This window comes from Homo sapiens, chromosome 5, assembly GCF_000001405.40.
Source record: "Homo sapiens chromosome 5, GRCh38.p14 Primary Assembly".
In the NCBI taxonomy this organism is placed as follows: Eukaryota; Metazoa; Chordata; class Mammalia; order Primates; family Hominidae; genus Homo; species Homo sapiens.
Window position 1 is genome coordinate 9,709,150 of NC_000005.10, and position 13,244 is coordinate 9,722,393.

At 42.1% G+C, this 13,244-nt stretch overlaps 1 protein-coding gene and 1 long non-coding RNA gene across 2 annotated transcripts in view; both read right to left on the minus strand.

The window, feature by feature from the left end:
* The window catches only part of TAS2R1 (taste 2 receptor member 1), a 276,530-nt gene that overhangs the window by 81,803 nt on the left and 181,483 nt on the right, over positions 1-13,244 (minus strand). The window contains exons 5-8 of the mRNA NM_001386348.1: positions 4,931-5,090; positions 4,636-4,702; positions 3,917-4,069; positions 3,023-3,242 (exon numbers count right to left, since the gene is read on the minus strand). The gene's annotated coding sequence lies outside the window, so the exon portion shown is untranslated. The remainder of the gene's footprint in view (positions 1-3,022; positions 3,243-3,916; positions 4,070-4,635; positions 4,703-4,930; positions 5,091-13,244) is intronic.
* The window catches only part of LINC02112 (long intergenic non-protein coding RNA 2112), a 262,510-nt gene that overhangs the window by 67,835 nt on the left and 181,431 nt on the right, over positions 1-13,244 (minus strand). The window contains exons 6-9 of the long non-coding RNA NR_027112.2: positions 4,931-5,090; positions 4,636-4,702; positions 3,917-4,069; positions 3,023-3,242 (exon numbers count right to left, since the gene is read on the minus strand). This is a non-coding gene — a long non-coding RNA (long intergenic non-protein coding RNA 2112). The remainder of the gene's footprint in view (positions 1-3,022; positions 3,243-3,916; positions 4,070-4,635; positions 4,703-4,930; positions 5,091-13,244) is intronic.

Genomic DNA, 13,244 nt, shown 5'->3' on the forward strand with positions numbered 1-13,244 from the left:
CCTGCACATTCCGCACATGTATCCTAGAACTTAAAGTAGAAAAAAAAAAAAAAAAGAAAAGAAAACCCTTTCCAGAAATACCTTCCACAGACTCACTCATTGGCTAGAAGTGGGTCATTGTTTCAATTATAGGGCCTCGCTGATTTTTAAGTAACTGCCAGTTCAGTTTCTTTCTCTTCTTTCTAATTGCTGCATTCCCCAAATCATCATTCTACTGAACCAATATCCTCCTAAAAGGTCCCTGCCTCAAATCTACCCTCCATACCAATGCTACTCCAGTACTCAGTAAGGTGGCCAGTCTTCAAGAAGCCCCCATGACTCCTGCCTCCTTGCATTTATACCCTTATGAAGTCCCCTCCCACTGGTTGGGTGTGGCCAAAAGAACATGGCAGAAGTGGTGGGATTTTGTTTCTGAGGTTAGATGATAAAAGACACTGTGGCTTCCGTCTTGGTCTCTCTCATCCCTTCTCTGAGGACAGCCACTGCCACATTTTGAGGATACTCAGCCACTCTCTGGAGAGATCCACAGAGCAAAGATGGATGCCTCTTGCCAACAGCTGCACAAGTGATCTTGGAGGTGAATCCCCACCCAAGTCAAGCCCTCAGCTAACATTGTGACTAACACCTCATGAGAAGCTCGAAGCTGGAAACACCCAGCTAATCTGCTCCCTAATTCCTTACCCATAGAAAATGTGAGATAATAAGTGTTTGTTATTTTAAGTCACTAAATTTGGGGGTGATTTATTATGCAGTGATAGATAATGAATTCACTTACTGTGAAACTGTCTTGGTTAAAACCCATAAATGGTCTCTACCACTTACAGCAGAGGACCTGGCATTGCCAGTAGGTGAGTTTTGGTCCACGGAGTCTTTTGAAATATTTTGAACTGATGTTTCAAAATTGGGAGATGTTAAATAGACATCATAACATCTTGCCAACCAGGTCCACATTTCCACAGAACACCCAAGGCCTTGGCCAGAGGATTGGCTGTCTCCTTTACAAAGAGCATGCCTTCCAACTACCAAAGGCCTGGGCCAAAGGATTGCCTGTCTTCTTTATGAGAGCATGCACTCCAACTCACTGAGAGGATTGGCTGTCTCCTTTACAAAGAGTATGCTCTCCAACTTATCGAGTGCCCTCCACTCACCCAAGGCCTGGGCCAGAGGATTGGCTGTCTCCTTTACAAAGAGTATGCTCTCCAATTCATTGAGTGCCCTCCACTCTAATTCCCCCAATAGTAGTGAGGACATGTCATAGTTGCCACTTTTTGATCCCTGCATGAACCATTACTTTAGTTATGTCTGAGACATAGTTTTGTGAACCTTTGCCCCTACCAAAAATGGGCAAACAAAAGATAGACTGAAATATCTCTAGTAAATAAAAAGCTAGAAAAGGTTTCCGCACACCTAAGGAAACAGTCAACAGAGAAAGAAGGTAACCTATAGAATGGGAGAAAATATTTGCAAATCATACATCTGATAAGAGGCTAATATCTAAAATATATAAGGAACTCAATTCAATAGCCAAAAACAAAACAAAAACAATCCACAAATGACCTGATTAAAAAATTTGCAATGGATTGCAATAAATATTCCTCCAAAGAATACATACAAATGGCCAATAAGTATATGAAAAGATGCTCAACATCATTAATTATTAAGGCAATGCAAATCAAAACCACAATGAGATAGCACCCCACACCTGTTAGGATGGTCATTATATATATATGCATACACACACACACACATATATATATAACCAGATTATATATATTATATATATAATATATTATATATAATATATAATTATATTTATATATAATTTATGATATATATTTATATATATTTAAAAAACAGAAAATAAGTGTCAGAATGCGGAGAATAGAAACCCTTGTGCATTGTTGATGGGAATGTAAAATGTAAAATGATGCAGCCTCTATGAAAAACACTATGGAGATCATCAAAAAATTCAAAATAGAATGACCAAGCGGAATCCAGCAATCCCACTTCTGAGTATTTATCTAAAAGAACTGAAATCAGGATCTCAAAGAGATACCTGCACTCCCATGTTCACCGCAGCATTATTCACAATAACCAAGAGGTGGAAACAACTGAAATGTCCATTGATGGGTGAGTGGATAAAGAAAATACAGTATATCCATACAATGGAATATTATTCAGCCTTACAAAGAACTGAATCCTGTAATATGCTACAACACAGATGAACTTCGAGGACATTTTACTAAACGAAATAAGTCATCACAGAAGGACAAATACTGCATGATTTCAGTTATATGAGGTATCTAAAGTAGTCAAACTCACAGAAGCACAGAGTAGAATGGTGGATGCCAGGGGCTGGTGGGAGGTGGAAACGGGGAGGTGTTCGATAGGTCTAGAGTTTCAGTCACGCAAGAGAAAAAGTTCCAGAGATCTGCTGCACAACAGTGTGCTTATAGTTTACAATACTATATTGTATACTTAAGAATTTGATAAGAGAACAGACTTCATGTTGTATTTATTTATTTATTTATTTTCTGAAATGGAGTCTCACTCTGTGGCCCAGGCTGGAGCGCAGTGGTGCAATCTCGCTGCAAACTCTACCTCCCAGGTTTTAGAGATTCTCCCACCTCAGCCTCCTGAGTAGCTGGGATTACAGGCACCTGCTACCACACCTGGCTAATTTTTTGTATTTTTTTAGTAGAGTTGGGGTTTCGTCATGTTGGCCAGGCTGGTCTCGAACTCCTGACCTCAGGCGATGCACCCACCTCGGCCTCCTGAAGTGCTGGGATTACAGGCATGAGCCACTGTGCCCAGCCTTATGTTCAACGTTTTTTTTTTTTCACCACAACAAAAGAGAGAAAGAGAGAAGGAAGGAAGGAAGGGAGGGAGGGAGGGAGGGAGGGAGGGAGGGAATAGAAAGTGGGGTAACATCTTTCTTTGTTAGAGAATATTTTCATCTTTTAACATGTAAACAAAGTGTCTAACAACTATAAGCAGGTCTCAGTTCACTCATTTATCTTACCTGCCTGGTCCCTTTAGGCATCAGTGTTTATTATCCCAGGTCTACAGGGCAGTGGTGCTTCATAGGCACAGTCCAGGTTCTCTGGAATCCAGCCCAGACCACCAATTCTTGCTGTCTTACCACTTTGTGACATGTCTCCCACTGTGATGGTTCACATTATATGCTGACTTGGCTGGGGTATGGTGCCCAGTAGTTTGGTCAAACACCAGTCTAGATGTTGCTGTGAAGGTAATTTTTAGATGTGATTAACATTTAAATTGGTGGAATTTACTAAAGCAGATTATCTTCCATCTTGTAGGTGGGACTCATCTAATCAGTTGACAGTCTTAAGAGCGAAGATTGAGGCTTCTATAGACGAAGGAATTCAGCCTCAAAACTGCAATACAGAAAGCCTGCCTGAGTTTCCAGCTTGCCTGGCCTGCCATGTGGAATTCAGACTCCAGACTACAACACCAACTCATACCTGAATTTCCAGCCTGCTGGCTTGTCCAACAGATTTTGTTCAGCACGCACATCATGTGAGTCAACTCTTTAAAGTAAATAAATGTGTCTAGCACGTGCGCTGTCTCTCTCTCTCCTTCCTCCATTTATTACACACATACAGATGGGTGTGTGTATGTATGAAAGGAATGTGGGAGGGTGGGTATATTAGTTAGGGTTCTCCAAAGATGTGGAACAAAGATACAGAACAAGTGGGAAAGACAGATCTTTCTGTATCTTTGGAGAACCCTAACTAATATACCCACCCTCCCACCTTCCTCACACCACCACCTTCTATCCTCCATGTCCTTGGTCATGCACTTGGCCCTGGTCATGCCACCCCCTTCCACCAGGACATCTTGCCCTCCCATCCCCCCAGCAATGCATTCTCCTTTAACTCAGTCCAACTGTCACCTTGCCCAGGAAGCTCCCCGTGACCACGCAGACTGGGATATATTTTTCTCCCCGATGACGCTCGTTTGTGCAGATCCCTCTCAACCCACACATTAAGTTGGAACATGACAACTTCCTTTATGTGGCCCACCAGAAGAGGAACCGTGTCTTATTCTGTCAAATGAATGAATAAATAAACGGATGAATCCCAACGTGTTATTACTGAGGAGGACAAACATAATAATCTTAGACAAAAGTAGTTTTACAGAATTACCATGTAAATCACCATAGAATAGAATAAATGCTTTGTAATTTAGGGGGAAACAGAAGGATTTTCTGGGCTTCTGGCAAAGCTTTTTCCTAACTAAATCATTTCAGGCACAGCTTTTGCAAATGCGTCTTCTGCTGGTCATAATTATGCGACTCCCACCCCCCACTGCTTTGAATTACTTTGTGCTAACACCAAAATTGTTCCACAGAGAGTAGGATTTATTTGCTGAAATGTGATGAGGAGAAGTGGGATAAGAGACATACTTCACATGCGGTGCCTGTTGCTAGCACAGCTGTATTTCTGAGAAATATATTTCAGTCTTTTGGCTCCATTTCTTTTGTAGTTTAATAACTGAAGTACAAAGCTCATGAAAGCTGGGAATGTGTTGGAAGGTCAGTGAGGAAAAATGCACGTGGTGCAGTTAGGAGAGACAAGGGAGTTAAAATAACAGGAGAAATTGATCACTTACGATCTTTCTGGTTGGTGGTTTATGGCTAAATGTCTGTTTCAGCTAAAGACCAAACACTGGCTCACAGCTACAAAGAAAGTAGAACAATTAAAAAACTCAGCAAGGAGAATTCCTTTTGTACCTCTATTATAAGCATATTGTTTATTTAAAATTATTTTATGTAATGCCAATAGAGTAATATCTTCATGTCATTATATAAATGTAATGGCAGTGGCTAGTTTTGCCATTGGATGACAGTCCTACACACTGGAACACATTTTCTCACCTAGCAGAAAGCCTTGCCTGCAGCACTCACCAAATGCCTCCTACAGTATCTTCCTCATGTGCACAAATGGCTTTATGTCAGAAATCAACATCCACTGAGACACCAGAAATTTGAACAGGTCCCTAAAGACAGGTTGACTGCTTTTCCTCCCTGTGGCACAGTCATTTGCAGTCTTTACTTGGTATTGCATCTGTAAATGGGATGTAGATAATATCGCCATCATTTCCAGGGAATATAGTGTTATCCACATCAGCGTTCATGATAACAAACACAATGTCCCAGCTGAACTTTGTAATCAGTACTTTTGGGAGAACCAAGTCTGTTTTAGTTTAACAGATGCATCTGATGTTGTTATCTAACCATCTGAGGCTGTGATGAAGCACAGAACGCAGGCTTTGTCATCAGCCAGTGCTACACCATATCCAGGGCCGGCTTCACCAGATGTGTGATCTTGGGCAAGATGTTTTGCCTCTCTGACCTGCAGTACTCTGCTCTGTAAAGGAGGTCCATAAAATTCTCTTTGGAGGATCAATATGAAAATCAGAAACAATAAATTAAACTATCTGGAATAGGGATTGGCACATAAGAGATGACAAAAAACAAAAGAAAGTGTTTGTAATAGAATATGGCTGACACTATTCCTGCTGGTTCGGGATTCTGGCTGAAGCTTTAAATTGAGAATGGAAGAAAAGCCTTTCATGTTCCAAAGGAAAGTGCTGAACACATTTCCCAGCACTTCTGAAAGATCGAAGAGCCAATCTAGAAACAGAACTCTGTGTCTAGCATGATACATGCAATATGTGTGCAACATGCAACTTGCATGTATATACACCTATATTATGTGTGCATATGTACATACAGTATCTATATACACACCTACACATATGTAAATAAAGCTCATTAAACAGGATGTGCCAATTTGTCAGCCAATGGGGAATTGATGTGGATTCTCCCTCCATCATGAGAGAGGGAACTAGGGTGCTCGTCCACTCTTTCAAGCTAAGGAAAGGGGACTCCAGGAAGATATGTCAAAAGAAACTACACACACTTCAAGAGGGAGAGATTGGCACCTTGCTCCCCAGCACAGCCAGTGCACTACAGACTGAACAAAGTGTAAAGGGAGCTCCTGAAAGAACTAAACGTGTGTGTGTGTCTAGGAATTTGGGGCATATGGAAGCAGAGACTGCTGCCTCTCCTATTCTGAATAATTCTGAAGATGGGAAACTGGCAGGAGCAGTGCACCATAAAAGCCAGGGACCGAGGATGCACTTGGGGATGCTACAGCAGGTGGTTGAACCTCACAGTTTGAAAGCACCCACCCAATTGGGCAGCCTGCTGGACTGAGGGCTCCCAGCACCAGGAGGCTGTGGGTATGAGGCCATTGGAAGCAACAACAGAGGAGAACTGCAAAAGGCCCTCCATACAGCTTATTGATTTATTTGGAGAGGCTTCTGCGGGGCCACTAGGCAACCACAAAGGTGCTCCCAAGGGAGTGCCAGCTTTGGGGACCAGCCACATGCATAGGGGACAGGACAGGTGGGTTTCAACAGCCTCATGTACAGGAGACTTGTCCTCTTTCCTCCAGTCTGTTTTCCCCCAACCCCTGCCCTAGAGAGGTGAGGAGAAGGAAGGAGACCCCAAGCCAGGGAACAGAAGAGCTTTGAACTGGATGGGAGACTGAAGCTTTCCCTCTACCTAGATTGTTAATACCTGACAGTGAATCTCCTCTTACAAACTGAGCCAGAGCATCAAGAAGGCTATGAACGAATCTCCCTGAGATGCCTTCAGTGAGCAGGGAAGGGAAAGCCAACAGAGCAAGATTGAAATATAAGTGGGAGAAAAGTAAAGCCATTTCCTGTTTATATACTTCAGCCTTCAGAGGCCACAAAAAACCAGCTACATACGATTATGTTATTTCGGAGCCTCCAAATGGAGTGACACATACTCTTTTACTGCCAATTACCAAGGCGTGGAAGGTGGAGAGAGGACTCTCTAGCTCCTCTGCTCCATCTCTTTGTGGCTATCACATTGGCTTCAATACAATGTGACTTAGGTACCCAAATTATTCTAGTATTGAGACAGGCAAGTGTAAAGAGGTCCCTGGAGAAACTTCAACCAGCCTGGTCACTGGGAGGAATGTGCGCTGGGGAGGAGCCTCGGGAAGTCTGTGCCATTTTGCAGCAGGGAGGAGCCTGGCCTCTCTTGTTCTGGGGTGGGGAAACTGGGATTCAATCTGTGAGGCAGGAAGCCAGCTAGCAGGACTCTGGTTTTGCTGAGAGTCCCTGTTTCCCTTTTTTCCCTTTTCACCCAATAAACCCTGCTTTTCTCACCCTTCAAAGTGTCTCTGAGCCTAATTTTTCATGGTTGTGTGACAAGGACCCTGCTTTTAGCTAACTAAGGAGAAAGTCCTACAACAATATAGTGGGACAAAACCCAGAGACAACAATCGATTTCAGCCAATCCAGATTCTACCAAGTCTGTAAACAGTACATATATTATATATATATATATATATGCTTACAGTTACTTCCAAACCTCTTTTTCTCATAATCACCCAAACCTAGACTAATGAGTTCCCCCATTTCTGCTCTCAAAATTTCTCCAAACAAGCCCTTTTCTCTAGGGGTACAGAATTCCTCATAAGCTGAATTTGTACCTTCTCTTTGTACTGTAATCTATGATCATGCATAAGTCTTTCTCTGAAGGGGAAAAAATGACAACTTTTGACTTGAAATCCAGCTCTGGATTTACCTAGAAGTCAAGCTTGTTAAAATATGGTCCTCAGGGTTTAGAAGACGAGGGTGAGCTAATTCTGAGTCTCAGCCTGCCTACCAAACCAGCCATACGATCGATACGGAAGACAGATAAAACCACACAGGACTCATGCCTTCAGCATGACCAGACAACAGAGAACACTGCAACCTTCAAATTGCCTGAAAGTAACAAATTCCAACAGAACTCTCACCACCTACTCATAGCTGCTAAGAGCCTGTGGATGCAGAGAGCAGAGAGGGAAGCAGAAAAGAGCTAAGAAAATAAACAGAGGGAGCAGAGGGCCACGAGGAAGCACAAACTCACCCTAGAAAGAGGAAATGAAATAGACAATGCAAAACAACCCAATACCAGTCAGGACTTGGAGATGCATAGGAAGGCACTGGAGAGTGGGTGGGGCCAGAAGGGGTGGCCTCAGAACATACTACTTGTGGGGGATAATCAGATCTAAAGAAAAGATCTGATGTTCCTTGGAGATGAGACAGAGACGGGAAAGAAGGACTTAAGAAGGGGGAATAAGGAGCCTGCAGAAACACAACAGTAAACTAGAATAAGTGGAGAGACCCCTTGCTCTTGATTTGGAGGTCTCGGTGTTATCAAGATGTCAGTTCTCCCTAATTTATAAATGTAGTGCAAGACCAACAAAAATTCTAAGGAGCTTTTTAATGGAGACAGACACATTAGAAAACAACACACAAGAATATCTAGGAACACATCAAAAAGGAATAACTTGGTGGGGGTGAGAAAGGGATAATACCGCTACCAGATGTTAAAACATAATATAGACTTCCCACAATTAAAACAGAGTGGCACTGGCACATGAATAGACTGACATCAAAGAAACAATAAAATGTCAAGGAAAAGATGAAAAAAAAGAATTTCCATTTGGAAAAACATAAAAGTAGATCCATCCGTCAAACCCTACATAAGAATGAACTCTGAATGAATCAGAAATGTAAATGTAAAAATAAAAGGACATATACTAGAAAAAAATAAATTCTTCTACAACCTATGTATATAGTAAAAGGCTAGGTCTGACTTAAAATTTAAATGCAATAAAATACTAATATGTTTGTTTGCATAAATTAAAATTTTAAAAAAGGTTGTATGGAATAACTACACCATTAGTAAATTTCTTTTTATTTTATTTTTTATTTTAGATGGAGTCTCACTCTGTTGCCACGCTGGAGTGCAGTGGCTTGATCTCGGCTCACTGCAACCTCTGCCTCCCGGGTTCAAGCAATTCTCCTGCCTAAGCTTCCTGAGTAGCTGGGACCACAGGCACACGCCACCATGCCCAGCAATTTTTTTTTTTTTTTTTGTATTTTTAGTAGAGACGGTGTTTCGCCGTGTTGGCCAGGATCGTCTTGATCTCCTGACCTTGTGATCTGCCCACCTTGGCCTCCCAAAGTGTTGGGATTACAGGCGTGAGCCACTGCGCCCAGCCACCATAAGTAAATTTTTAAATGACAAAATGGAAGAAAAATTTGCAACATACATTGCAAATAGAAGAATTAATGTCACTAATGTACAAGGCACTTTGCAAAATCAAGGATCAAAAACCAAAAGTCCTACAGAAAAATGGGCAAACACATGAAAAACTATTCATTAAAAGAAACAGATACATGGCCTAGAACCATATGAAAAGATGCTCAATTTTGTTTATAATAAAAGTGCACCAAGAGGCTGGGTGCAGTGGCTCACACCTGTAATCCCAACACTTTGAGAGGCAAAGACAGGAAGACTGCTTGAGGCCAGGAGTTTAAGACCAGCCTGAGCAACACAGACACCCTCATCTCTACAAAACAAAACAAAACAAAACAAATCAAATCAGGCAGTTAGTGGAAAAGGAGGCAACATTTTTGACCAGGTGGTCAAAATTACACCACCCATGTGAAGGACATAGTATGTGCTTCCAGAAGGGATGACAGAGGACACAGTATCTTCTATGCAGTGGGATGGCCGATAACACACCTCAACCCAATCACAAGGAAGCTTCAGTCAAGCATAAAATAGGGAGCATTCTGTTTAAAAAGTGAAGGGGCTACTGTATTAAAAAAAAAAATCAATGTCTTAAAAGGCAAAGAAAAATCATGGAATTGTTCTAGATTAAAGTAGGCTAAAGAGTCATGACAACTAAATGCCATGCCCAATTCTGAACTGAACCCTGTACTGGAGAAAAAGTGTTACAAAGGATATTAATTATTATGTTAACTGACAAAATTAGAATATGGGCAGTGGATTAGTTAAAGGTATTGCATCAATGTGTGTGTAAATCAATAGTGTAACATCATTAGTGTATGTGGTTATATTAATAAAAGATATTTTTCTACTTTTAGGAAATACACACTGAAGTATTTAGTAGGAAGGACCATGATACACATAACTTATCTGCAAATGATTCGAAAAAAATTGTGTATGTGTGTGTGTGTACACAGAGAAAGAGAGAGAGATTGAGAGAACATAAATGATAAATCAAATGGGTTAAAAACAAGTGATTCTGGGTAAAGACTGTAAGGATGTTCTTTGTACTATTTTTGGTTTTGCAACCTTCGGAGATGTAAAATTTGTTTTAACAAAAAACCTAGAAGCAATACTTGTTTCACTCTTCACTCTCCCCACTTCCTCGCTTTTGTCTACCCTGCAATTCACTGTTACCAAGCCTGGGTCTCCACTCTTCCACTGAAAACTATTCTGGCAAAAGGCCCCAGTGCTTCCTTAAATGGGACATCCAACAGGACTTTTTTAATTATTCATCTTGCTTGAGTCAGTGGCAGCACTGGACTCTTCTGGCTTCCTGCTGCTGCTTAAAAAGCTACACTTCTGGCCGGGCGCGGTGGCTCACGCCTGTAATCCCAGCACTTTGGGAGGCCGAGGCGGGCGGATCACGAGGTCAGGAAATCGAGACCACGGTGAAACCCCGTCTCTACTAAAAATACAAAAAAAATTAGCCGGGCGTGGTGGCGGGCGCCTGTAGTACCAGCTACTCAGGAGGCTGAGGCAGGAGAATGGCGTCAACCTGGGAGGCGGAGCTTGCAGTGAGCCGAGATCGCACCACTGCACTCCAGCCTGGGCGACAGAGCGAAGATTCCGATTCAAAAAAAAAAAAAAAAAAAACAAAAACAAAAACAAACTACCCCTCTATGCTATTTTCTTTTCTTGCCTTCATGACCACTCCTCTTTGGCTTTCCTTTCTTTCTTTTTCTTCCTCTACTCACCTTTTAAATGTGAGTTTCCTAAGATTCCTTATTTAGATCTCATCTTACTCAACATTTCCCTAAGAATATTCTTCCATTTTTATGGCTCCAAATACCCCAAACTGGAGAGGCAGTTAAATAGTTGATTATTAAAAATTGATTAGTATATTATTTAGCTCTTGCTGTATGCCAACCAACCACAAAAATCTCTGTAGCATTCAACAAAAAGCACTTACTCTCGTGGATCTGCGGGTTGTAGAATTTGGCTAGTCTGGGCTGGGCTTTCCTGGGCATGGCTTTAAGCCACAGGGTGGGCTCACATCTACTCAGTGAGTTTCTCACCCTCTGTGGAATGGTGGGCAAGTTGGGACATCTTCTCATGGCAATGGCAGGAAGCAAGAGAGCAAACGGAAATGTGGAATGTACCTCTGAAGGCCTAAGGCCAGGACTGACCCACTGTCATTTCAACCCACATTCCTTAGGCCAAAGAAAATCACACAGTCAAGCCTAACGCCAAGGGGAAGCGAAGTCTGCTCCATCTCAGGCTGGAAGGATTAAGAGTCTGACGAGAAAGAGAGTGACTGCAGGAAAGGGTGGGGAACTGCACCTGTCTGCAGTAGGAATGTATGAACTGACTTGGAAACTGTTTCAACCTTCCCTGGCAGGAAAGGATGAGCTACGGAGAGCAGAGTTCCTCAAGGTGGGGCATCAACAAGGACAGATGAGAGGGAAGGAGCAGAGAGAAGCAGTCTACCTTGAAGATTCACTCAGTGAGGAATTTTAAAACCTCTGCATCTCGAAGGTTTCCAGATTTTCTTTCCACCCTAGCATTTTCCAGGGAGCCCCAGGAGTGCCATGCTGCACTTGGAGGGCTGCTGTGCCCATTTCTCTTGTCACATTCCATTAGACAGATGCCTCAGCTGCTGCAATGCTGGAAAATCTAGAACATGATGTGCTGTTCCACTAGGGCTGCTGCAGCGCCCACCCTGCCTGCTGCAGGGCAGTAGCTAAGAACTGCGAGACGCGAGGTTTCCCTTGCCCATGTGCAACCTGCTTACCTATATAAATAGATAGCTGATCAAGCCTTTTTTTTGGCAAAAATTCTCTGACAGGCTAGGAGCAAAGCACATGCCAGCAAAGGGCAAAGGGGCTCTCCATAGTCTATCTTTGAGGGTTCTTGTGAAGTTACTATGTGTGGCATGAAGGCTGCTTACATTTTTACATGCATTTGATCCCTTTAAAATGGTCCAGAAGAAAGTGGTATATGAAAGTACATTCTGAAACCAGAAACATGGAGCATGACACTTCAAGCTACAGGATCTGGAGTCAGGTGGGTGTTCCCCGGTGCTGCTAGCCAGCTTTGATCTTAACTCTCCCAAGGGTCAACTCTTCATCTGGGAAGTATGGCCAATCCTAAGTCACAGCATTATATAAGAGTGAAACAAAAGCCTGTGTGAAAGTCCCTGGTGTCCTGACTAACCCACAGTAGGCGCTGAATGAATAGAACCTTTTAAAGGTGTTATCATCATCATCATTTGCAGCATTGCTGGACTTTTTTCTCTTCCTAGCTCACCTCCTACAAATGTGTTACTGGATTGTGACAAATATATTTTTGGACATTTTTAGTTGACAACTGCAAGTGATATTGAATATTGCAAATTAATTGACAGTTTAACTGCTTAGAGGATTTCTCTTACTTTGGGTAATTGGAAAGTAGGAAATTAAAGGAAAAGCAAATATGATATTATTTGAGTATTATTTATGAAATAGGCTCAATATTTCATTTCAATAAAATTTCATGTATTTTCCAAAAATATCTACTTTTTCTACTATACTACCTTCAACTTATCCAAAATAAAACCTAATAAGCAATAGTAATAGTCAACAGTCAAATATTGACTAACTTCTGTTCCAGGCAGCTTCTAACATAGTTCCCAAGAAACCCTACCTCCTTATAGGTGGCCAGACCAGTAACTTAACTTGCTACTTCTGAGAAGATGTTTTAAAAGACTCTTCCTTATTAATCTCTCTCTCTCTCTTCTTACTTGCTCACTCTGATGGAGCAAGCTGCCATTTTGTAAACCTAAGGGTAAAGGAACTGATGATGATGATGGTCTCTGGCCAACAGCTGGTAAGGACCTGAGGCCCTCAATCCAACAGCCCAGGAGGAACCGCTGCCAAGAGGACCCCCCACAGGGGACCCCTGAGGCCACCATGTCTCTGACTGCAACCTCATGAAAGACTCAGAGCTTCTGCACCCAACTTAACTGTGCCCAGATTCCTGACCCATAGACACAGTGAAATAATAAATGCTGTCATTTTAAGCTACTAAGTTAAGGTAATTTTTTACATACCAATAGATAACTGATAAATCT